The sequence below is a fragment of the Homo sapiens genome, chromosome 15, assembly GCF_000001405.40.
Source record: "Homo sapiens chromosome 15, GRCh38.p14 Primary Assembly".
Classification (NCBI taxonomy): domain Eukaryota; kingdom Metazoa; phylum Chordata; class Mammalia; order Primates; family Hominidae; genus Homo; species Homo sapiens.
Genome location: NC_000015.10, coordinates 73,978,059 through 74,001,776, shown reverse-complemented (window position 1 = coordinate 74,001,776; position 23,718 = coordinate 73,978,059). Strand labels below are relative to the sequence as shown.

The window sequence follows — 23,718 nt, the reverse complement described above, 5'->3', positions numbered from 1 at the left end:
GAGAACCTTTTTAAGAAAAGACTGAAATGAAATTTGAGAAATGATTGACTATGAGAACACTAATGAAGTTATCAAAGTTATGGCATACAGCCAAAACCATATACAGAGAACTTATGCCTTAAAAGAGTTATTATTAGGCAGGGCATTGTAGCTCACGCCTGTAATCCCAGAACTTTGGGAGACTGAGGCGGGTGGATCACTTGAGGCCAGGAGTTCGAGACCAGCCTGGTCAACATGGGGAAACCCCGTCTCTACTAAAAATAAAAAAAATTAGCCAGGCATGGTGGTGGGCACCTGTAGTCTCAGCTACTGGGGAGGCTGAGGCAGGAGAATCACTTGAACCCAGGAGGCACAGGTTGCAGTGAGCCAAGATCTACCACTGCACTCCAGCCTGGGTGACAGAGGGAGATTCTCAAAAAAAAAAAAGTTATTATTATTAAACAATAAAGATTGCAAATAAATGAATTATAAGTTCAAGAAGCTAGAAAATGAATAATGACAAAAGTTAGAAGGAAGAAAATGACAAAAATAAAATGATCAAACAGAAAGAAGGAAAACATTAAAATCAGTAAGCAATCTAAGGAAAGACTAAAAGTACAGTACTTTGAAAAGACTGCTAAACCACAAATATACAACATCAGAAATAAAAAAAGGGGGTATAGTTACAGGCATATAGGAGATTTTTAAATAATGAAAGATAACTCAGGATGAACTGGAAAATCTTCCAAAAATCTGACACAAGAGCCAAAACAGATTAATGCCATGGCAAAAATGGGAAAAGTTCCCAAAAATCTACTATAAAAAAGGCACCAGTTCCAAGATGGTTTTTCAAAAAACTTTTATAAGCCTAAATTTCTTATATTCTTCAAATTGTTCTAGAGCAGAGAAATTATAATAGAATTTTAACATTCACTGAGTATTTAATATGTGCCAGGCACTACGCTAAACAATTTATATGTACAGTTGGCCCTCAGTATCTGCAGGTTACGCACCCGTGGATTCAACAAATCTTGGATCAAAAATATTCAGGCGAAAAAAAATCAATTAAAAAAGTACCACAATAAAAAAATATACAAATTCAAAAATATAGTAAAACAACTCTTTACATAGCATTTACATTGTATTAGGCATTATAAGTAATCTAGAGATGACTTAAAGTATACAGGAGGGGATGGGTACAGTGGCTCACACCTGTAATCCCAGCACTTTGAGAGGCCTAGGGAGGGTTGCTGCCTGAGCCCAAGAGTTCTCAAGACCAGTCTGGGCAATGTCGTGAAACCCTGTCTCTACAAAAAATTTAAAAATTAGCTGAGTGTGGTGGTGCACACCTGCAGTCCTGTATAATCTGGTGGCTGAGGTGGGAGGATTGTTTGAACCCAAGAGATTGAGGCTGCAGTGAGCCACGAGTGCAGCACTGCACTCCAGCCTGGGCGACAGAGCAAGACCCCGTCTCAAAAAATAAAAATAAAATAAAAAATAAAGTATACAGGAGGATGTGTAGAGGTTATATACAAATACTATGCCATTTTATATCAGAGACTTGAGCATCTATGAATTTGAAACAGACTCCCATGGATCCCGTGGGATGGCTGCATTATCACGTTCAAAACATGAAAGCTTACAAATTCATTAAGAAATTAGTATAAGGCTGGGCATGGTGGCTCATGCCTGTAATCCCAGAACTTTGGGAGGCCGAGGCAGGTGGATCACCTGAGGTCAGGAGACCAGCCTGACCATTATAGTGAAACCCTGTCTCTACTAAAAATGCCAAAAAATTAGCCAGGCATGATGATGTGCACCTGTAATCGCAGCTACTTGGGAGGCTGAGGCAGGAAAATGGCGTGAACCCGGGAGGTGGAGGTTGCAGTGAGCCGAGATCGCGCCACTGCACTCCAGCCTGGGTGACACAGCGAGACTCCATCTCAAAAAAAAAAAAAAAAAATTAAAAAAAATTTTTTAAATCCAAAAGATAGAACCAGAGATAAAGCCAATTTCTCCTAATTTATTGCAATTTCAATCAAAATCCAATAAATATGTAAGTTTTAAAACTGCATAAATTGTAAGAGCAAAAGAAATGCATACATTTTTTTCTTTCGAGGAATTTGTTCCTGAATTCTTTAATTAGTCCCTTAATTCCTCAACGGAAACAACAACAACAACAGGCAAAGGACCTAAACAGGCCACTCGCAAATGCAGAAACACAATGGCCAATAAACAAGTGGAAAGCCACTCAACCTTTACAATAAGCTAAGAAACGTGGTGATACCAGCTGTTGAGGAGTCGGAGGGGAAAGCTTATTCTGATAGTGTGGGAAGTTTATCCTAAAGCAGGAAACAAATCACAGTCAGTTTAGCAGATATGTAGTTCAGCAAATATGTGGTTTAGCCATATATAGTTCTGAGTTGTCAAAAACCAGCGAAAAATGCTTTCATTTTGCAAGTGGATCTCTAAGAACCAAGAAGCGCCTTCTATGAACAATCTATTGCTAATGGTGAAAAGTTCACATAGTTATGCTACCTTTTTGGCTAAAAGAGGGAAAATAGGACCTGATAAGATTGCTCCTACCTGCATATATATTCGTAAAGAAACTCTCAGAAGAAACATTCAAAACTAGTAACAATGGCTACCTGTGGATGGGAAGAGGGAGAAGTGGTGGGAATTAGGCAGTTGGGCATGGACAGAAGATTGCACTCTCTCTCTCCTCTTTACAAATTTTGTTCGTGAACTGTACGAATGTATTACCTATTAAAAAACTGAGTTAAAATCTGTTTAATAAAAATAATTACAACTGGATGTGATTTTTTTTCCCCATACAGACATTCTCAGATAGCGCTGCCTGGTGTTAATGGTTTCAACTTTTCAGACAGAAACTAACTACTTGTCTCTGATCCTAGAATCCAGCCTTACTGAGATTCCGTGTCAGTGCTCTCGGAAAATTCCACTAAATTCTAAAGGGCAGTTTGGTAACATGTATCAAATGTAGAATTCCCGTCCCCCTACACCCAGCAGTGGCACTTCTAAAAATTTATCCTAAAGAAGTTACTGGATAAAGATGCAAAGATGATTCTGCAGCATTATTTATTACAGGAGGAAACTGGAAACTTACTATCCACCTGCGTGGGGACTGGCAGCATAAATTGTGGTCATCAACACGGACACTGCATATCTGCAGACCACATTTAGAGTTGCAAGGCCCCAGAAGCTCCTTGTCCTCAGCTGTGTGACTCTTTGGATCTTTGCTCCTCTCGCCCTCTACCTGGTACTTGGATGCACCACCCCACCCTGTGCCGGCCTACTCACCTGGTCAGCGTAGGGGTGCGGTGGTTGGGGTTGGAGCAGAAGATGTTGTTGGTCTTGCGGGTGCCGTCCAGGAACTCACGCACCGACTGGTTGCGCAGCTCTGCTAGGGGCCGGGCCTCGTGCTTGAGGAACCACTGGTGTGCCTCGAAGCACTTGGCGCAGAGGAGCTGCTCGCACTCAAAGCACCAGAAGTCGGCCGACTCTTTGCAGCGGGTGCACACAGCCTGCGCATCCACAATCTGCCGGTACACCGACAGGCGCCGCTGCAGACTCTCGAAAAAGACGTTATCCAGGGCGGGTGTGTCTGCACCTAGGGGCCAGGGCGCCTGGCAGATGGGGCACTGCATGCCCGACGCCTCCAGGCATCCTGAGCACAGCGTGTGCAGACAAGGCAGCAGCTTCGGGCACTTGGCTTCCGCCTGGCATTGCTGGCAGCGCAGAAACTGGAACTCCTCCTCCGAAGCGGGGGCTCGCTGGGGGACCAGAGAGGCAGGTGAGGCCTGGAGAAGTCCCAAAAGCCCCCACCTACCGGCCAACCACCCTTACAGCTGGACCCTGGAGTAGGACCTCATATTCCATTCCAGCCAGTCATTGGATGATGCAAAACCCTGGCTTATCAGCACCCCAATACCCCCATTTATTCAGGCCCTCCAGCTCTCACTGCACCATTTATTGAGCATCTACTTCTCATCACCCACAGTAATAGGCTCTGAGATATAAGAGGTGTAGGATACATTCTGCCTTCAAGGAACTCAGTTTGGAAGGTAGATACACTAAGTACCAACCTCATATAAAGTGCTTAATGCACAGTTTGGGGGTTCATTAAAGAGGTAAGCATGGAACAACAATATGACCCAGAAATTCCACTCTTAGATATATAACCAAAAGATGTAAAAACAAGGCCCAAACAGATACTTGTACAACAATGTCCACAGCAACACTATTCACAATAGACAAAATGTAGAAACAATCCAAGTATCCATCAACAGATGAATAGATAAACAAAATGTGGTCTACACATATAATGGAATATTACTCAGCGTTAGAAAGAAATGAAATTCTGATACATGCTACAACATAGATAGACCTCAATGACATTATGCTAAGTGAAATAAGCCAGTCACAAAAGGTCAAACACTGTATGATTCTGAGGCAGGAGAATAGGGTCTGGAGGCAGGGAACCTAAGGCCGATTCCCTCTGACTTCCTAGAACTAAATCGAAAGGAAAACCGCAACTCTCCATGCCTCAGTAACAAAAGGAAGAGAGGCTACTCTCTTTGCAAATCACCCCATTTCCTGCAGGGCAGATGGAAAATTGAAAGTACGTCTGGTTGGTTGCTTTCTGCAACCAATGGGGTGAACACCAAGTGGCCAATGGGAAACCTCTAGGGGGTATTTGGAACCCAGAAGATTCTGTAACTGGGGTCCTTGAGCCCTGCTCTAGCCGCTCCCACCCTGTGGGGTGTACTTTCATTTTCAATAAATCTCTGCTTTCATTGCTTCACTCTTTCCTTGCTTTGCTGTACATTTTGTCCAATTCTTTGTTCAAAATGCCAAGAACCTGAACAATTTGCAGTCAAGATCCTCTACTGGTAACAATTCCACTTACATGAAATATCTAGAATAAGTAAGTTCATAGGGACAGAAGGTAGATTAGAAGTTACCAAGGGCTAGGGGAAGGAGAAAATGAGGAGCTATTGCATTACTGGGGCTCAGGACACACCACTTCAAAGTATGACTGCAGGAGGCTCTTGAAATATACTTCTTTGGCATATTTTAAGCTGGTTATTCTGAGAAACTGCTGATACAGGAATAGCTCTGAAAAGCTCTCCTTTTGTAAAAAAGAAAGGCATTTATATCTTAAAAGAAAATCTACATTAGTAAAATGATCTATATTAAAAGAGGGCTGCTCCAGACAACTTTTATTATCTAAGAACTTTTAATCTACATAGCAAGACAACCTCTATTCACCAAACAGCTCCTCTCCTCACCCTCCCATAACTTGTGTTATCACCATCACCCAGAAGCTCCAAGCTCTTTTCCGTAGCTCAGGATGTTATACAGGCTTCAATCATCTGACCTTTCTTTGAGTCTCATATATTGTGGGACTCCTGAGTATACATATGTAATTAAATATGGGTTTTCCGCTGGTAATCTATTTTATGACTATTTAATTCATAGGCTATTTAATTCATAGCCCAGCCAAGGAAACTAGAAGGGTGGAGGCAAGCCATCTTTCCCTCCCCTATGGTTTAAAGAGTACAGAGTTTCTGGAGTAATGAAAAAGTTCTGGAAATAGATGGTGGTGATGGTTACACAATATTGTGAATCTACTTAATGCCACTGAATGGTACACTTATAAATGGTTAACATAGGAACTTATCCATTAGGTATATTTTACCACATTTTGTAAAATACAAAAACAGGCCGGGCATGGTGGCTCATGCCTGTAATCCCAGCACTTTGGGAGGCCGAGGTGGGTGGATCACGAGGTCAGGAGTTAGAGACCAATCTGGCCAACATAGTGAAACCCCATCTCTACTAAAAATATAAAAAATAGCCAGGTATGGTGGCGTGGCCTGTAATCCCAGCTACTCGGGAGGCTGAGGCAGGAGAATGGCGTGAACCCGGAAGGAGGAGGTTGCAGTGAGCCGAGATCGCACCATTGCACTCCAGCCTGGGCGACAGTGTGAGACTCCGTCTCAAAAACAAACAGATAAACAAACAAACAAAAAACAAAGCAAAACAAACAAACAACAACAAAAAAAAACCAAAGTGCTTAATACAGTACCTGGCACATTTGAAGTGCTCATAAATGTTACCTAGTATTGTTAAGTAATGTTATTCTTAGTTGTAATAATGTTTATAAAAGTTACTGTAATACGGTGTCCTCTGTACTTTCATGAAGGGGAGTAAAAGGGCCTGAAAGGCAGCAGAGCAAGAAACCCAAGTAGTTCCTTTGTCGGGGGAGGTGGGAGGTGGGCAGGAAAGGTGTGGCAAGAGAAGGGTTCGTTGGGGAGGCTTCCTTAAGCAGAAACCACATGAGCTGGGAGGCCTTGGCAAAGATACCTCTTCAGTCTGAGCCAGTTTCTCACCTCGGATCTGGGAAGTTGGTTTTAGTTTTGCCGTGCCTGGGACATGCCCCTGGCTCCAGGCCAGCGCAACAGGGGTACTACCTCCATCCTCCCTAATCTGAAGTCCTGCATCTGAGGCAAAGTTGAGGCAGGGCTCGAGGGTGGGCGGAAGGGCCCAGGCCCGGAGGCCACTGACCCTTCTCACCTTGCCCAACTGCTCAGTGGAGAAACCGCAGCCCAGCGAGGCCGCCCCAACTCCTCCGTGTCCTCTTTTCTACTCTATCCTACCCTCCCTTCCCTGCCCCACCCGAGACGGTCAGGACCCTGGTGTCTGGACTTCCCGCTTTGTGTCACTCTCTAGGGTACTTGACCAAATCCTCCGTTAGACCCTCTCTTCCCGCCTCTCCCCACCACAGCAAACCAACAAAGCTTAACCCCATCATCCCCTAACCCAATAGTACCTCTGTAGGGCTGGGGCTGGGGCTGGGCTGGCGGCCTTCAGAGGGGGTCTCGGGGGGAGGCATGGTGGGCTCCTGGGGCCGGGCGGGGTCCTGCTGGGGCCTCGGAGATCGGGCGGGTGCAGGCTCCATGGACCCCAGCTTAGTTTCGATTCTCGGTTTAGATCTTGGAGTGCGTGAAGAGAAGCTGAAGGGGAGGCGTGAGCCAGTTGGCTGAGTCCCTTGAGCTGTCCGAAAGGGGAGGTGCCGGCTCAGGGCCCGCCTCTGGAGAGGAAGTGAGACAGAAGCTGGGGGCGGTTCTAGGGGGCAGAGAGGCCGACTGTGGGTTTTAAAGACACGCCCAGAGCGGGGAGGAGGTAGAGGCGGAGAGCTGCAGACCTACCGCTGACTTACGGTAAAGCGGGAGAGGTAGGGCAGAGCTGCAGGGGGGCAGCCCTGCTCCCGGCTTTGATCCATTCATCCGTTCACACTGGCACTGCTTCGTGCCACGTCCTGCCGGGAGCTGGGCGTACAAAGATGAGCCACACGCAGCCCCTGCTTTCTAAGAGCCGTAGATGTAATGGAAGAGCAAGCCTGCAAACGGAGACATTCTGGAAAGGAGAGCCCACAGCTGGGACCTGCAAAAGCAGTGGAAATTCACCAGGGATTTAGGGTTGTAGGTGGTGGGGTACGGGGGACACTTGAAACAGAAAAGATAGCTCTTGCAAAAGCCTGTTTGGGAACTAATTTTGGCCATTTTCAGATTTAAGAGGGAATTCATGAGAAATGATACCCAAGGAGTGTGCTAGGACAAGATCCTAGCTGAGGAGATTGAACCAGTTCTGTGAGTGATGGGAAGTTGCTGAAGGATTTGGAACCAGGGAACAACACGATCAGCTGTGCATGATGGGACAGTCACTCTGACAACCTAGGAGCAGGTGCCCTGGTCTAGGACAGTGGCTGTGGGATGCAGAGGAGGGACTTGATTCAGAGATCCTGGGAAGCCAGTGACTGGAGGTGAGGGAGCAGGATGATGCCTTGAGTGACAGCTGGAAAGGCTGGTGGATCTGAGGTGGTGGGGGCAGGAGGGAGGGGGAGAGCTGGAGAGCGGGTATGAAGAGGGTGAGGGGAGAGCCAGCTAGGTCTTCGCCAATGGAAAAGCATGTCAGACTCCCAGCTGGTAAGGGGAAAGGGGCACAGTTCCAGGTGACCTCACTGGGTCAGCGCCCCGGCTTCAAACTTAAACCATCGCAACCACTGTGCTGGCTCCTGTGTACCCATTCCGTACTCTGTTCCAACTTAGAAACAGACTAGAAAGGATGATGATAGGGCCTGGCTCTTGTAAACCTTACAGTCTGCAGGGTGGAGAGCAGGGGTTGGGCAGATACGCAACTTCCTAGGGACTGTAAGGCCTCAGGAGCCTGCCCTTCCCTCCAGCCTGGTCAGTACTCCCAGGCCTTTAGAGAATCAGTCCATGAAAGCCAAATATGGTGGGCAGCCATCTGCACAAGGGACCTGGAAGTGGGCTATGGCAGGATGGGGCTTCGGAGGCCAGAGGCGATTGGCTGAGGAGGCAGAGCTGGGGAAGCTTTATTCATTTCTTTGCTTGCTTTGGAAGATAGCCTGCTCCCAGACTACCCCAAAGTCCTGTTGGAAGTTAACACTTCTCAAAGGAAATTCACGAGTTGCATTCAGGTTTTCTCAAGCCCTGGAGAGGCAAGTTAATTCCAGGTACCTGGATCAAGGGGCATGCTCTTTCTGGACCTGCAGGACTGAGGGCCTCACCTCTGTGGTGCTCTGGGGCCCCTGCCCTCATGTAGCTCTGTGCTATCCCCTTCTTCCTTACACTCCCATGCTCCCCGAAGTCTGCATGTGAAACTTCTTTCTTTTTGTGCCAAAGTTCAGGCCTTCCTACTCCACCTTGATCACGGTGACCTGGCCAGGCCATTACTTAACAAATAAGTATTGAGACCTGCCCTATGCCAGTCCCTGCTTGCTGGGCTGTGGGTTCACAAAGAGGAATAATTTGCAGACTATGTCCCAGAGAAACCCAAAGTCCAGATATGGCATGTCCTGCCTCCAGTGTGAGAGAAGGAGTGCTGAGAAGGCTGATATAGCATGTCCTTGATCCTGGAGAAGATTGGCTTCCTGTAAACCCTGATGAGATCTTGCTCTCTCGCTCCGACTGCAGTGCAGTGGCACGATCATAGCTCACTGCAGCCTCAAACTCCTGGACTCAAGAGATCCTCCCGCCTCAGCCTCCCAAGTGGCTGGGACCACAGGCAGGCATCCCACGCCAGGCTAATTTTTAAAAATTTTTTGTAGAGATGGGCTCTCACTATGTTGCTCAGGATGGTCCTGAATTCCTGGCCTCAAGCGATCCTCCTGCCTGAGTCTCCCAAATTGATGGATTATAGGAGTGAGCCACCGTGCCCAGCTTCCCCTCCAGCTTTTCTAGGGCTGAGTAGGAGAAGAGGGGAGGAGGCGATGACCCCAGCGGGGTCCGAGGAACGCCGATCACACCCAGTAGCCCTGGGCTGCAGTTCGGTCCTCCCAGCGCAGGGGGAGCCATGCGACGGCGGAAGCGGGCCCCGGCCGGCCTCCTCTTCCTGCGCCCGCGCCGCCGCGGGTGGCCGCGCGGGTGAAGCCGGAAGCAGCAGCCAGGAGGGCGGGGCCGCGTAGGGCCCACTGGCCAGGGAGGGCGCCGCGCGGAGGCGCGGGGCGTGTCTCCTGTCAAAAGCCATGCTCGGCAGGTCTGGGTACCGGGCGCTGCCCCTGGGTGATTTTGACCGCTTCCAGCAGTCGAGCTTCGGCTTTCTGGGCTCGCAGAAGGGCTGCTTGTCCCCGGAGCGGGGCGGCGTGGGGACAGGGGCCGGTGAGTGGCCGCCTGGCACGGCGGAGCCGGGGGGGACCGGCCGGCAACCCCCAGGCCCGAATCTCTGCCTCCGAGGAGTCGGCCGGCCCGGTGCCGTCGCACCCTACGAGGGGGGACTGAGAAAGGGATACGATGTGGAGAGGGGGCTGGACCCGGCGCCTGGTGCTAGCGCCGATCCGCCCTCCCTAGGGTCATGGGGCTTTGGCCCCAGAGCCAGCCAGCGTTGCTCCTATCTTCCAAAACCTCACCTCACCACATTTGTCCTCGGCTCTTATCAGCCCTTTAGGCCTGGGAAGACGTTTCAGGTTTCTATTTCGCATAGAAGAAACCGAGGTCTAGGCAGAGGAGGCCACCAGCACCCTAAAGGCACCTGCTGCAGGGAAATGGAAGAATTTTCGCCCTAGGGGGCACCTCTAGAAGCCCGGGAACTAGGCATCTCCTGGATGTGCAGGCCAAAATGACAGGTCCTCAGCTGCCTGTTGGATCTGCCCTGCTTCTGTCTTGCCCTCAAAGTCTTCTGTGGCTCCTTTGGCCTACAGGCCAGATCCCACGCTGTTCAGCCTAACCGCCTAACCTTGGATTTGATCCCTCCCTGGCCTTCCTGTCCTGAAAGCTCTCCCTATCCAGAAGTCTCTTGAGAGGCCTGGTGGATCAGAGCCAGGCACAAAGTGGAGCCTCAGTGCTCTGGGGCTTAGCCCAGAGGGCAGGGCTTCCTGGAAGAATGGAGCAGGGCTCCCGACTGCTTCCTGTCCAGGGTTGGGAGGAAAGCGGCAAATAACCTCATCCCAGATTCTGGAGCTGTCTCGGCTTTGCTCCCAACTTGGGCTCCTGAATCTCCAGGGGCCAGGACATTTGGCTTGGATAAGCCTCATCTTTCTAGCCCTGCCCCTGACCCCGACCCCTAACAATTTTCTTGAATTGAAATAGGCAGGGTTTTTTTTTGTTTTTGTTTTTTGTTGTTTGTTGTTTTTTTGAGATGGAGTCTCGCTCTGTCCCCCAGGCTGGAGTGCAGTGGCGCCATCTCGTGAAATAGGCATTTTTTAATGGTCATTAAGGCATTAAAGTTGGGTGTGGAATAGAAAATAATAATCTAATTCCTCATCTGTGGCTCCCGTTGATAAGCTATTTATGATTTATCCCTGTAGGCTAAGGCATCATCTTCATAAGGACTCCTGGAAAGCACACTTCTGGGGCTGATGGTATAGGAGGAATGTGTTTTGCCAGCAGTATTCAGTGCATGTTTACAGATGCCCAGGTGCTCCTGGCTCCATGCCAGGTATGGGTAGGCAATATAAATTAAACGAGAGGATTGACCCCTACTCAGTCCAGTGAGGAGAGCATCATCACGCGGACTGGATTCTGAGATTGAATGGCTGTTGCCTAGCAGAGAATAAGGCCTTGTGAGGGTTGTTGGACTTGGGACAAATGAGTGTTGATGTATGGGAGGAGGGAACAGACCCTAACTTGCAGCTGCCCAAAGATACGGGAATATTAGGCAAGGAGCCAGATTGAGAGCCCTGAGAAGGAAGGAGCCTCTCGAGGGGAAGGTGGGCGTAAGGTACACTTGCCCAAGTTCACTCCGCTTGGCAGCTGTCGTGCAGGTCCAGTTGACCACCTCTGCTCTCACCTGCAGATGTACCCCAGAGCTGGCCCTCCTGCCTCTGTCATGGCCTCATCAGTTTCCTGGGGTTCTTGCTGCTGTTGGTCACCTTCCCCATTTCTGGCTGGTTTGCCCTGAAGGTAAGGCTGGCTGGGTCAGCCCCCAGGGTGGTTGGGCCACACTGAGAGCTTTGGCATTGATGAATAAATTTGCCTATCCTCTGTCCCCTTTCCCTAAATATTATTACCCCTTTGTGTAATGGGCTAGGCAAGAACCATTCATTCACATTGGTCAGGGGAGGAAACTAAGGCTTGGGCTTGTCTAAAGTCATACTGGGAGCCAGTAGGGGGTAGAAGCAAGTCCCAAACTCCTAAGTCCTGGGATCTGGACACTGGCTTTAAGGTACACGCAGATGTCTTTGCCAAATTATCTTCTCTTTGGGTTAGAATAAATTAGAAATGAAAACACCCAACTTAGCCCAGCTGGTAGTGCATAATAGGAATTCAGGCCTCATTTTCCATAAGGGGTGGTACAGTGGGAAAAGGATGAACCATGGAGCTATAGTTCAGCATCGCACGTGAAAGCTGGGGGAAGGTGGAAGCCCAAGGAGGCCTTGCCCTTTGTGTAGCCCTAGGCAACAGTCCCTCTCTAGAAAACCTCTGGGTTTGGTGTGGTCTGCAAGGGGGTCCTTAAATGGCCTTATATCCTAGTTCTAAAACTGCCACAGAAACAAATGCCATGTGACCTTGAACAGGTTTCTTTGCCTCTCTGGGCCTTCATTTCTCAATTTGGACATCACTACTTCTCTAGGAGGTCCAGGGACCTAAAGTTGACAAAGCCCTTTCCCCGGGGGTGCTGTTAGGGCAGCCGAGCCTTTTCTCCTAACTAATCCAAGGACAGACAGTTTCCTGGTATGAGTCATGTCTAACTTCAGACCACAGAGATGAAAAGTTTCTCTAAGGATCAAGTCAATACAGTGCAGTAGTTAAGACACATGGCCTTTGGAGTTATTCAGAACTGCATTCAAATCTTCACTATTTCACTTAGGGCTATGCAATTTTTGAGCAGTCACTTAGCTTCCCTGAGCCTTGGTTTTCTCATCTGGAAACAGTGCTAGGGATACCTAACTGTGACCCAGGTGAGGAGGAGAGAAGTGAGGAAGGGACCTAGGCAGACAGCATTGGCCAGCCTAGGCTGACCACTTTCAACTCTTTCCCTTGCCATTGTGGACAGATTGTGCCCACCTACGAGCGGATGATTGTGTTCCGCCTGGGCCGGATCCGCACCCCCCAGGGACCTGGCATGGTTCTGCTCTTGCCCTTCATTGACTCCTTTCAGAGGGTGGATCTGAGGACACGAGCCTTCAACGTCCCTCCCTGCAAGGTGAGGGGCTTCTCAGCTGCCTTGACAGAGGAACTGGGGGCCTGTCCAGAATGTACTGTGGTGCCAGGACCTCAGCCTGTGAGTCACCATCTGAGGGGGGAAGGGGGAAGAAGAGACCAGAAAATTGATGGAAGCTAGGAGGACATCCTTGCTTCATACACCTAACCCTACATACTTGGTGACACCATTTGCCCTTGAGGAGCTAGCTGCCAAGCAGGTGGTTCAAGCTGGGTGGCCCCAGTGGGCCTGACCTCCCTGCACCCCCAGCCCCTTGAGTGTCTCTCTCTCATGGCCTCCCCCAACAGCTGGCCTCTAAGGACGGGGCTGTGCTGTCCGTGGGAGCCGATGTCCAGTTTCGCATCTGGGACCCGGTGCTGTCGGTGATGACTGTGAAAGACCTGAACACAGCCACACGCATGACAGCCCAGAACGCCATGACCAAGGCCCTGCTCAAGAGGCCGCTGCGGGAGATCCAGATGGAGAAGCTCAAGATCAGCGACCAGCTTCTGGTAGGCAGCCCCTCACAAGACGGAGCTTGAGGGGTGGCACCGGCCTGGCTCCACCTGCCAGGTCACTTTGAGAAAAGAGTCAGACCACTCTGGGCCTCAGTTTACCATATGTCCCAATAGTGTAACCACCTTTGAAGAGCCAGTGCCTGGGTGGGGCCATGAGTTGAGGAATGGCAGGTGGGCGTAGACCATAACGATCCTGGGCAAACTTGTCCCTGAGAAGAGGAAGTGGCCCCGGCAGACATTCTTGGGGTCTGCCCCTTAGTTTTTACCCCTCACTGCTCTGCCATGATGACACTGGCTTCTACAGCTCTCATTCCGGGCCTGACTCATGGGGCAGGCAGATGGGTGATGGAGCAGGGACCCTCCCAGCCCAGTCACCTGCTGGGGAATTCCAGGCTCACCATGCAGCGTGTGCATGCTTGTGATTTTTGTTTCCTTGTTTGGAACAGAACAAAGGAACATGAGGACATTTGGATCTTTTTCCTGCCTCTTCTCCATGTGTATATTGGAGTTTGCCCTAAATCTCTTCTGCTACAAGATGGGGTAGAAATAAATACACATGCAGAGTTGTGTCCCCTGCAGCCACACTCAACTTGTGCTTCCTCTTGTGTCCTGACAGGGGAATGTAGGTGACATTTCTCCCCATTCCTCTTGGCTCTGCTTTGCCCTGGGGAATCAAGGTTAGAGGACAGTCGGGGGAATGGGATAAATGCCAGTCCTGGAGGTCCCACTGGAAGCAGCGAGGGGAAATTCCTGAGGAAATACTATTTGAGATCCTAACAGTAGCTCTTACGTGCTTAGCAGTTTATGGTTTACAAAGTCCTTTTGTCTGGCCCAGCATTTCTGAGCTTGACATTTTTTGCTGCAAGTCGGTACTACTGTTTTATTTTGGAGGGAGGAAGCTAAGGCTAAGAAATAATTTGACTTGCCTCTGAGAGCTATGGTCAAGGGCAGAGCTGAGCCATAGCTAGACCACCTGCCTCCATCCCACCATCGCCCCTCAATCCAGTGCTTGATCTAACACAACTCAGATAGCAAGTGGATAACAACTTTTATTCATAAAACCATGCCCCGTGTTAATTCACCTTTAGGAAGAGAAAACTGATCTCAGTCTTGTTGCACATTGTTTTGATGTGAGACAGGCAGTTTGGGGAGGTCAGTTCCACACCAGGATGTGAGAGTCCTTTAAGTCCCATTTCCCAGACTGAGTGAGCACCTGGTAGAGTGAGAGCTGTGCCTGTGGTTGAGACAGAACCTCAGGAGGTCCAGCACACCGCCCTCAGGCCCTGGTTCAGGCGTACACTTATTCACATGCCCCTTTTTGCCTGATTTTCTTCTAGAGAAATCAGAGTCCCCACCTCTCACTTGCTGGACCTTCCTTAGCCAGTTACCACTCCTTACCTGCCAGTGCTCCAGGCCAGCTGCCTCAGCCCTTCACTGCCCTCCTCCAGCCCCACCACTGCTCATTGCTCTCTGCAGCAGGCCTTGCCTCCTAACACTCAGGAGAAAAACTCTAGGATGAGCACTCTGCTTCCTCCAGTTTCACCCCTTCAAACCCACCTGCCTCTGTGCTGCTTTCCTGCCTCCTTGCCCTTCTGCCTCCCCTCTCTGAGGCTCATCCCTGTACTGCGCAGTGCTGTGGGCCCCCTGCTATCCCAGGATGCCTTCCCTCCACTCCATGCACTCTCTCTCTGTCACCTCTCCTTTCTGTGTAGAAATGTGCCCTCCCTTTGCCACAGTGCCCTCTAGCTCCCACTCCCTTTCTCCCCTTTTCTTCTGCAAGACTTTCATCCATGCTCCCAGCCCCTGCCCCTACATCCTTCATCCTGGCCTCCTTGGGCTCCCAAGACAGCGCTGGCCAACATCACAGTGACCTCCCACATGCCAGCCCAGTGGGCACCTCTCAGCCCTTCCCTTACATCACCTGGTGGCAGCATTTGACATGGTCGACCCAGCCCCCAGCCCCCAGAACCCCCTGTACTTCCTCCTTCCCTGTCATCCCTGGTTACTGCCACTTATTCTCCTGCCCTTGAGTTTCCAGGGTTTCATCACTGGCCTCTTCTCATCTGTGACCTCCCTGGGAGAGCTCATCCATCTGGGCTGTCTGCTGCCTGTGGATGCTGATTATTCACAATGTCCTGCCCTAGCCCTGATGCTTCTGTACCCTGGGCCATTTCTCCAGCTGCCTACTGGACAATTGACTGCCCCACAGACACCTCAAGCTTACAGTAGTAAAAAAAAAAAAAAAAGTTGCCATCCCTCCCTTCCCACCCCCGTGTGTCCTCTCTAGTGAATGCCACACTCATCCATTCAGGAGCCTGACTCCTCCCCACTCCCGCCCCCTCTCATATCATTGCACACATCGAGGCAGCCCCGAGCCTGGTGCTTGCACTTCTCTAGTGCCCTGTTGTGGCTCAGTACAGTTGATAGAGGCATGCCTCCCTCAGTGGATCTTGGCTTCACAGCTCCCCTCCACCCTCGCCAGAGCTGCATCATTCCTTGGCTGTATTTTGAAACAATGTCTTCCTTGGTCTCCATCCCTCCCCTCAGCCCCCTATAATCCAGCATCCACAGCAGCCAGGAGGATCTTGCCTTAAAGCAAGTCTGCTGTATCACCTCCCTGCTCAAACTCCTCCCTGGGGCTCTTTGTTGCCTCAGAATAAATCAAAGTAAGCAGAAACACCCCACCTCTGACCCCTCAGCTGTCTCCAGTCCTCAGCCGACATGTGAGGGTCCAGCTAAATGGAACTCTGGTTCCTCGCAGCTCCACGAACATGCCAGGTTTTCTTGTCTGGGGTTTTGCACATGCTGTTCCTGTTGCTGGAAGGGTCCTCCTCCACCTGAGGACTCCCTCCTGCTGGCACCACCCTCCTCTGCTGGGGGCTCACCACAGGCCTTGCTTCTGTCTTGGCACTTACCACAGCTGAAAGGTCATTGCCCTCTGCCTGTGTTCCCAGGCTAGGAGTGTCTCAAGGGCGGTGTGGTGCCTCCATGTCCATGCACGGCCACACAGTCTGCCCAAAGAAGGTGCTCAGGAAAGGTTTGTTGAATTAATTACATTTCTCCTCACACTGTCCTCCAGCTGGAGATCAACGATGTGACCAGGGCCTGGGGGCTGGAGGTAGACCGCGTGGAGCTGGCAGTGGAGGCCGTGCTCCAGCCGCCCCAGGACAGCCCAGCTGGGCCCAACCTGGACAGCACCCTCCAGCAGCTGGCCCTGCACTTCCTGGGAGGAAGCATGAACTCAATGGCAGGAGGTGCCCCGTCCCCGGGGCCAGGTGAGGAGCCCTGGGGAGGAGAGCGGGGGTGTTTACCAGCTTGGTGCCAGCACAGACTTTGCTCACTATCCCAGCAGCTCTGTGCAGTACACACCCTGCACAGATGTTCAGCCCACACTGACCACAGCCAAGGCAGTGAGAGGAGGCCAGGTGTCTGAGTGTGTAGAGGCCATTGGCAGCCTCCATGGGAGGAGGCGACATCACCAGAAGGGCAGCTGGAAAGAATTTTATATCTGAGGCTGGAGTAGTTTAGAAACTGAGTTTGCAGTTTAGGCTGAAAACTCAGGGGCACCTTTCTGGTAGAGGAGGAAGTTGAACAGAGGCCTGAAGGGGATCTAAGAGGAAACTGCCACAAAAGGTGCAGAGGCCACAGTGAGTGGTCCTGACCTTGGCAACACGATGACCTCCTCTCTGCCTCCTTCCCCAACCCTGTTGGCCACCCCCAGCAGACACCGTGGAGATGGTGAGTGAAGTTGAGCCACCTGCCCCTCAAGTTGGTGCCAGGTCCAGTCCGAAGCAGCCTCTGGCGGAGGGGCTACTGACTGCTCTACAGCCCTTCCTGTCTGAGGCCCTGGTCAGCCAAGTCGGGGCCTGCTACCAGTTCAATGTCGTCCTGCCCAGCGGCACCCAAAGCGCCTACTTCCTGGACCTCACTACAGGTGCCGCTGCCCTCCTTGCCTCTCCTTCCCATCCAGCTTGCTAGGTTTCTTGTTACCTACCCCAGTGGTGCTCTCGTAGACTGCCCCCTGCTCCTGCCAATAATTTGGGGTGAACCCATGGCAGGCAGGGGCTCAGACACCATTTCCAGGCATTAACTATGCCCTGGTCTCCCCGCCATCCGCAGGACAATGCAGCCAGGCTTCCAATACCAAGAGGCCTGCCCGTGTTACAGGCCTGCTGCCTGTCAGGCTCTGTGCCAAGTACTTTTTGTACATTATCTCACCCACTTCTCACCATGAGCCTATGCTTTAGGAATTGTCATCTCTAAAGGAATTATCATCACAGATTTGGAAACTGAGGATCCAAGAGTTCACACAGCCAATAAGACTCAAACCCAGGGTATTAGAACCCAAACTCTTAACCAGTACTCTCCTCCCAATGGGAAATACCAGCCCCTCCCACCCCCATAGATCTCCTTCACGTTCCTCCATTCCCCTACTGACACTCGGTTTTCTTTTGCCCCACAGGACGAGGAAGAGTGGGACACGGGGTGCCTGATGGCATCCCTGATGTGGTGGTGGAGATGGCCGAGGCAGACCTGCGGGCCCTGCTATGCAGAGAGCTGCGGCCCCTGGGGGCCTACATGAGTGGACGGCTGAAGGTGAAGGGCGACCTGGCTATGGCCATGAAGCTGGAGGCTGTCCTCAGGGCCTTGAAGTAGCAGCCTTGGCTGACTTTCCAGAGCCCAGTCCCAAGCCTGGCACCAAGCCTGAGGGGCCTCTTGGAGGAGGAGGTGTTCATCTGCACCACAGAGAGTTGAGGCCCTAACAAATTTCAGGCCCAGCCAAGAGCCCATGAATGGAGGCTGCAGGAGGCTGAGTCCGGCTGCCATGCACGTCTCCCCTACAGTGGTTCTCTGGACAAGGCTTTGTCCATCCCGGTCCCCAGCTGAGTGCCCAGCGCTGAGCTGGGTGCACGGTGTGATTCCAGGAGGAGAGCCAGGCCTGCCCTGCCCTGCTGGCTTCCTGACTGGAGAGACAGGACCCACAGAAACAGCCTGACAGCAGCTGGTTTGGTCCTTGTGTGAGGGACCAAGCATGTGGCCCAGGCTCTAAGCTCTGCGGGGATTGGAGAGGGATGGGGAGGGAAGGGAAGGCAGCTCCAAGAAGAGGTCCCTGTGGCGAAGTTACCTGGGGATCCTGGCTGGCCCACCTTCCTGGCTGCAGTCCAGGCCCGTGCTGGCGGGATTGGGCATGGGAAGGAGCAGGGCCTGCTGCTTCCCTGGCGCTGCTCCCAAAGATTTCTGACTCATCTGCCAGCTCTGTCCTGCATGCCTGGCGAGCTGGGGCCCAGGGCAGCATGAAGGAGAGCCCTGCGTTCTGTGCTTCTTACCAGAGGTTTGCAAGCCTCAGACAAATAAATGTGGTGTTTACAATGTATAAAAGAGAAGAAGCCAAGCGGGGCTCCTGGGGGCATGGGGTGGGCTAGGAGGGTCCACAAGGTCCATGCTGCCAGCCCAGGCAGGGATTGACATCCTGGTGGCTGACACAGACAGACCCTCACAATATTTGAAGCTCCTTCTCCTGAGTGTCTCAAAGCCCCTGGAAGCAAGGGTGGGGCTGGGTGGGGAGTTCTGTTCCTCTTTGTAGTGGGATACAGGTTCACCAGGAAAGGAAGGCATGAGTGTGCCAGAGTGTCCTGCAAACACTGAGGGGCAGGTGGGGTGGTCATATCCCATTCAAGAGAGGAGTTGGGGCCACCGTCAGCTTCCCCTCCTGGTACACTCTGTCACTGCTTCTCCGCTCGCTGACGGGAAGGAAACAGTCATTGAGGTCTGGCCCCAGGCCCAGCCCAGCCCTGCTTTCTGCTCCAGTACTCTCGCCCAAACCCCAGGGGCCCCAGAGAAGGGGGCCTCTGACTTCTTGAGTCCTAAGAAAGGAATCTTACTCCTTGGAGAGACTTCTGGGAAAAACAAAACCACAAAAATCAAAGCCTCCCCTTAAGAACAGCCCCCAGCCTGTCCTGTGGCACCGCAACTTCCCTCTCCCCCAAGGGGTCTCTGCCCTTCCTGGGTGCCTGGCTCTGTCTTGTTTGCTGTCTGTCCCTGCCTTTGCCAGACACTGCCTTGTCCCGCCTCCTGGAGGTCCTCCACATTGCCTGAGGCACCTCCCTAAAGCCCAGCACAGACCCCTCTGTCACTGCCATGGCCATTGAGGTTCAGGTTTCCAGGGCCCCTTCCTAGAGTCCCAGGCTGCTGCACCTGCTGTTGCCCCTTTGCCTACTTGGAGGCCTCTCATGGGCCCTCCCAGGGCTTTCTAGCTGAGGCTGTCTGTTCCAAAGCCTGCCCTCCAATCCCCGCAGCCACACTGTGGCCACCCTTTGAGGCCCAGTGAGACTTGTCCTCTGTGCCCTTGCCTGGCTCTCTGCACCCATTCCACATTGTGTGTTTCTGCTCCTTGCATATATGGCTGCCCTCCCTGCTGGACTGGGAGCTTCCTGCATCAGCATTCACCTGTGGATTCCTTCCATTGCTATTACACAGTATATGAAGGGCTGCCCAGGAAACCCCAGGCATCTTCACCATGAAAGCTGGCACGGCCCCTTGGCTGGGGTAGGGCTGGAGGGTAGGGAAGACAGGAAAAATGAGATCACAACTTAGGGGAAACCCAAACTCTTCTTTGTGAGCATGGGAAGATCAACATAACGTTTAGGGGAAACCGAAACTTTTCTGGATGTCTGTGTAGGTGGAGAGTAAGGCCTGCCCCTGCCATGAATCCCCACCCTGTGGAGGGGAGCTCGATCCTTGGCCAGCACTCCAGGACTACAGAGGACTGAGCAGACCCTGCAGTCCACAGGGGAGGAAGGACAAGGGCCACCTAAAGGGTCGGTGTGAAGAGGGAGGAGGAGGGTGTGTGTCAATCAGAGAAGGCTTTCCTGAGGAGGTGATGTCCTCCACATCCCAGCTACCAAGTAGGTGGACAATAAGAAGAGATGGGGAAAATCATTCAGCAGAGGAGAAGTCCCTGCAAGGGCACAGCTGGAAGAGGCAGTCAGGCAACTGGGCTTCGGGGAACTAGAACCTGAAGTACCAGACAGGTTGTGTGCGGGCATTTGAGGGGCAGGGTATAGAAATAGTAACCATTACTGTGTGCCAAATATGTCCTTATACCGGACTAGACACTTCTTATTATATTTTTCTTCAAGATAACCTGGTGAATAATGATAATAGTTTAAGTATCCTAGTTAATATATTAATATATAATGTGTTATTTTGATGTTATTGAAAAGTATTTTATTTTTTTTTGAAACAAGAGTCTTACTCTGTTGCCCATGTTAGAGTACAGTACAATCTCAGCTCACTGCAACCTCTACCTCCCGGATTCAAGTGATTCTCCTGCCTCAGACACCTGAGTAGCCAGGATTATAGGCGCATACCACCACACCTGGTTAATTTTTGTATTTTTAGTAGAGATGGGATTTCACCATGTTGACCAGGCTGGTCTCGAACTCCTGACCTCAAGTGATCTGCCTGCCTAGGCCTCCCAAAGTGCTGGGATTATAGGTGTGAGCCACCGCACCTGGCCTTATTTTTAAGCATTTAAAAAAAATTTTTTAGACCGTCTTGCTCTATCACCCAGGCTGGAGTGCAGTGGCATGATCATAGCTCACTGTAGCCTTGAACTCTGGGGCTCAAACGATCCTCTTGCCTCAGCTTCCTGAGTAGCTGGGACCACAGGTTGTGCCACCACAACCGGCTAATTTTTAAAATCTCTTTTGTAGAGATAAGGATGTCTCCCCATGTTGCTCAGGCTGGTCTTGAACTCCTGGGCTCGCAGGATCCTCCCACCACAGCCTCCCAAAGTGCTGGGATTACAGGTGTGAGCCACTGTACCCAGCCAATATTTAAATTTTGGTTGGCTAAACATTTAAAAAGATAGGAAAGCATATTATGAAAATTCTCCCTCCACACATATTTCCCATGCCTTCCCCCATCCCCTGCGATTAGTTTCTTGGTAATTCTTCCTGAAGGTTTTGTTTTTTAAAAAAAAATATATGCAAGAAAATCCAAATATGTATCTTCTGGGTTTTTGTTGTTCCTGTTTTTATACAAATGGCAACATAGAAACACAATGTTGCCTTTTTCACTTAACATTACCCACTGAGGATCTTTCCATGTTACCACAGACAGCCTTTCCCTGTGCTTTCTTGTACTTACATAGGATTCCACAGTATGGATGTATCATAAATTATTCAACCTGTCGTGGACCGATAGACATTTTGATTATTTCTTGTGTTTTGCTATTTTAAATACTTTTGCAATGAATAACCTTTAACATGTGCTATTTGTGGTAGAGTTTATCTATAAGATAAAATCCTAGAAGTGGAATTGCTAAATCAAAGCATTTATAATTTAGTAAATATTGCCAGAATACCTTCTCTGGGGATTATACCAATTTACACTCCCATTGTCAGTGGTGTTTTTTTCTCATAGTCATGTCAATACACTGTGTTATTAAACTTTTGGGTCTTTTGACATTCTGGAAAGTGAAAATTTGTATCTCAGTGTAATTTTTTTGTTTATTGTTCAAGTTATTTTTTTGTTTTTTGTTTGTTTGTTTTGAGACAGGGTCTCACTCTGTCTCCCAGGCTGGAGTGCAGTGCAGTGATTGTGGCTCACTGCAGCCTCAACCTCCCAGGCTTAAAGGATCACCATGCCTGGCTTTTTTTTTTTTTTTTTTTTTGTAGAGACAGGGCCTTCTCAAGCTGGTCTCTAACTCCTGGCCTCAAGTGATCCTCCCACCTGGCCCTGGCCCGCTAACTGCTAGGATTACAGGCATGAGCCATCTAGCCCAGCCTGTTTATTGTCCAATTGTTTATTGCTTTGTAAGTCTTGGATTTCTAGCTCCAGCAAAGAACAGGGTTTGGTTTGGTTTGGTTTCTCTTCCCCTAGCATTTACATATTTTTTAAAGGTGTAATTTACATACAACAAACACCCTTTTAAAATGTATTATTTGGCTGGCTTGCGCCTCTAATCCCAGCACTTTGGGAGGCCGAGGCAGGTGGATCACCTGAGGTCAGGAGTTTGAGACCAGCCTGACCGATATGGTGAAACCCCATCTCTACTAAAAATACAAAATTTAGCCAGGCATGGTGGTACACGGCTGTAGTCCCAGCTACTCGGGAGGCTGAGACAGGAGAATTGCTTGAACCCAGGAGGTGGAAGTTGCAGTGAGTTGAGATCATGCCACTGCACTTTAGCCTGGGCAACAGAGTGAGACTCCATCTCAAAATTAAATAAATAAAGATAAAATAAAAAGTGTCATCTGAGGTGCTTTGACAAATGTGAACACCTGAGTAACCACCACCCCCTACAATCAAATACAAAACATTCCCATCCACTCACAAAGTTCTCCACGTCACTTCCCGTCAGTGCTTGCCACCTCCAGCTTTGAGCAGCCACTGACCTTTCCATAACCGCTGATCACATTTCACTTTTCTAGCATTTCATATGAATGAAATGAGTGCACAGTACTCTTCTGTGTCTAGCTTTTTCCCCCTCACTGTAATGGTTTTGAGAGTAATACATGTTATTCTGTGTATCTGTAGTTTGTTGTATTGCCAACACATTCCATTGTCTAGATAGAGGCACAATGTATTCATTCATCCATTGATGAACATTTGAGTAGTTTTCAGGTTTGGTTATTAAATAAAGCTCCTCCAGACATCTGTGTACAAGTCTTTGTTTGGACATATATTTTCATCTGGGTAAATACCTAGAATTGCTGGATTGAAAAACTGTCAAACATTTCCAAAGTGGTCCTGTCAACATGCGGTATAGTCAGTCTTTTAAACTTTAGCCACTCTAACAGGTGTGACTGACAATGTTGAGCCACTTTTAATTTGCTTATTGGGCACGTGTCTTCTTTTGTGAACTATCTGTTCAATATTTTGCTTATTTAAGAAATGGGCTATTAATATTGTTGAGCTTTAAAAGTTCTTAGTATAGCTGGATGCAGTGACACATGCCTATATTCCCAGGTACTTGGGAGGCTAAGGGAGGATCAGTTGAGCCCAGAAGTTCGAGGCCAGCCTGGACAACACAGCAAGACCTGATCTCTTAAAAGAAGAAGAAAGAAAGAAAAAAGAGAGAGAGAGACTCTCCATACGTTGCCTAGGCTGAGTGCAGAGGCACAATCCTGGCTCACTGCAGCCTCAACCTCCTGGGCTCAAGCAATCCTCCCCACTCAGCCTCCCAAGTAGTTGGCATTATAGGTATACATTACCAAACCTGGCTAATTTTTATATTTTTTGTAGAAACAGGGTTTTGCCACATTGCCCAGGCTGGTCTCAAACACCTGAGCTCAAGTTATATACCTGCCTTGGCCTCTCAAAGTGCTGGAATTATAGGCATGAGACACCTTGCCTGACCTGTGATCCATTTTCGAATTAATTTTTGTATATGGTGTGAAGTAAAAGTTGACGTTCTTTTTTTTCATGGTGATATCCAATCGTTCCAGCACTTTTTGTTTAAAGGTATCTTTTCCCCATTGAATTACCTAGAAACCTTTTCATTTGCTTTTGTGTTATTTTGAGTGAG

The 23,718-nt window shown here is 49.9% G+C and overlaps 2 protein-coding genes across 21 annotated transcripts in view, besides 10 other annotated features; one reads left to right on the top strand and one right to left on the bottom strand.

Moving 5' to 3' along the window:
• PML (PML nuclear body scaffold) overlaps positions 1-7,061 on the bottom strand; it is a 53,112-nt gene extending 46,051 nt beyond the window's left edge. For all 9 annotated transcript variants that reach the window (NM_033238.3, NM_002675.4, NM_033249.3 and 6 more), the window contains exons 1-2: positions 6,836-7,061; positions 3,301-3,773 (exon numbers count right to left, since the gene is read on the bottom strand). In NM_033238.3, the coding sequence (NP_150241.2) occupies positions 3,301-3,773; positions 6,836-6,964 (602 nt within the window). In that variant the 5' untranslated portion in view covers positions 6,965-7,061. The remainder of the gene's footprint in view (positions 1-3,300; positions 3,774-6,835) is intronic.
• Positions 3,687-4,189: an enhancer, noted in NCBI's record as "H3K27ac-H3K4me1 hESC enhancer chr15:74289929-74290431 (GRCh37/hg19 assembly coordinates)". NCBI's record gives its function as "activates a minimal SCP1, AML or CMV promoter by ChIP-STARR-seq in naive H9 embryonic stem cells {active_cell/tissue: H9 hESC(naive)}" and the evidence as "EXISTENCE:reporter gene assay evidence [ECO:0000049][PMID:30033119]".
• Positions 6,479-6,648: an enhancer, noted in NCBI's record as "active region_9738". NCBI's record gives its function as "activates an Ori minimal core promoter by ATAC-STARR-seq in GM12878 lymphoblastoid cells {active_cell/tissue: GM12878}" and the evidence as "EXISTENCE:reporter gene assay evidence [ECO:0000049][PMID:35858748]".
• STOML1 (stomatin like 1) lies at positions 7,155-22,851 on the top strand. Of its 12 annotated transcripts, none has more exons than NM_001256677.1 (8): positions 9,429-9,686; positions 10,832-10,962; positions 11,320-11,426; positions 12,520-12,669; positions 12,975-13,178; positions 16,264-16,459; positions 16,909-17,118; positions 17,647-18,559. In NM_001256677.1, the coding sequence occupies exons 2-8, from the start codon at positions 10,956-10,958 to the stop codon at positions 17,838-17,840; spliced, it is 1,068 nt and encodes a 355-aa protein (NP_001243606.1). In that variant the 5' UTR covers positions 9,429-9,686; positions 10,832-10,955; the 3' UTR covers positions 17,841-18,559. The 12 variants fall into 12 exon arrangements, with proteins under 12 accessions (NP_001243605.1, NP_001311156.1, NP_001311155.1 ...); NM_001324230.2 differs by having other exon boundaries at positions 9,482-9,686; positions 16,906-17,118; positions 17,647-22,851; NM_001256676.1 differs by lacking the exons at positions 9,429-9,686; positions 10,832-10,962 and adding an exon at positions 7,155-7,226.
• Positions 9,256-9,815: a silencer, noted in NCBI's record as "silent region_6644". NCBI's record gives its function as "represses an Ori minimal core promoter by ATAC-STARR-seq in GM12878 lymphoblastoid cells {active_cell/tissue: GM12878}" and the evidence as "EXISTENCE:reporter gene assay evidence [ECO:0000049][PMID:35858748]".
• Positions 9,946-10,015: an enhancer, noted in NCBI's record as "active region_9737". NCBI's record gives its function as "activates an Ori minimal core promoter by ATAC-STARR-seq in GM12878 lymphoblastoid cells {active_cell/tissue: GM12878}" and the evidence as "EXISTENCE:reporter gene assay evidence [ECO:0000049][PMID:35858748]".
• Positions 10,076-10,205: an enhancer, noted in NCBI's record as "active region_9736". NCBI's record gives its function as "activates an Ori minimal core promoter by ATAC-STARR-seq in GM12878 lymphoblastoid cells {active_cell/tissue: GM12878}" and the evidence as "EXISTENCE:reporter gene assay evidence [ECO:0000049][PMID:35858748]".
• Positions 12,615-13,814: an enhancer, noted in NCBI's record as "CDK7 strongly-dependent group 2 enhancer chr15:74280304-74281503 (GRCh37/hg19 assembly coordinates)". NCBI's record gives its function as "activates an origin of replication core promoter dependent on BRD2, BRD4, P300/CBP, MED14 and CDK7 cofactors, with strong dependence on CDK7, by STARR-seq in HCT116 cells {active_cell/tissue: HCT116}" and the evidence as "EXISTENCE:reporter gene assay evidence [ECO:0000049][PMID:35650434]".
• Positions 13,272-13,331: an enhancer, noted in NCBI's record as "active region_9735". NCBI's record gives its function as "activates an Ori minimal core promoter by ATAC-STARR-seq in GM12878 lymphoblastoid cells {active_cell/tissue: GM12878}" and the evidence as "EXISTENCE:reporter gene assay evidence [ECO:0000049][PMID:35858748]".
• Positions 13,502-13,561: an enhancer, noted in NCBI's record as "active region_9734". NCBI's record gives its function as "activates an Ori minimal core promoter by ATAC-STARR-seq in GM12878 lymphoblastoid cells {active_cell/tissue: GM12878}" and the evidence as "EXISTENCE:reporter gene assay evidence [ECO:0000049][PMID:35858748]".
• Positions 13,572-13,761: an enhancer, noted in NCBI's record as "active region_9733". NCBI's record gives its function as "activates an Ori minimal core promoter by ATAC-STARR-seq in GM12878 lymphoblastoid cells {active_cell/tissue: GM12878}" and the evidence as "EXISTENCE:reporter gene assay evidence [ECO:0000049][PMID:35858748]".
• Positions 19,756-19,945: an enhancer, noted in NCBI's record as "active region_9732". NCBI's record gives its function as "activates an Ori minimal core promoter by ATAC-STARR-seq in GM12878 lymphoblastoid cells {active_cell/tissue: GM12878}" and the evidence as "EXISTENCE:reporter gene assay evidence [ECO:0000049][PMID:35858748]".
• Positions 22,852-23,718: the final 867 nt, after the last annotated feature.

What these genes read in the sequence shown, in the direction of transcription:
- STOML1 (NM_004809.5), top strand. Translation starts at nt 9,554, where the DNA reads ATGCTCGGCAGGTCTGGGTACCGGGCGCTGCCCCTGGGTGATTTTGAC. An exon ending in CGGCGTGGGGACAGGGGCCG is followed by an intron (nt 9,687 to 11,319) that starts GTGAGTGGCCGC and finishes TCTCACCTGCAG; the next exon opens with ATGTACCCCAGAGCTGGCCC. An exon ending in TCAACGTCCCTCCCTGCAAG is followed by an intron (nt 12,670 to 12,974) that starts GTGAGGGGCTTC and finishes CTCCCCCAACAG; the next exon opens with CTGGCCTCTAAGGACGGGGC.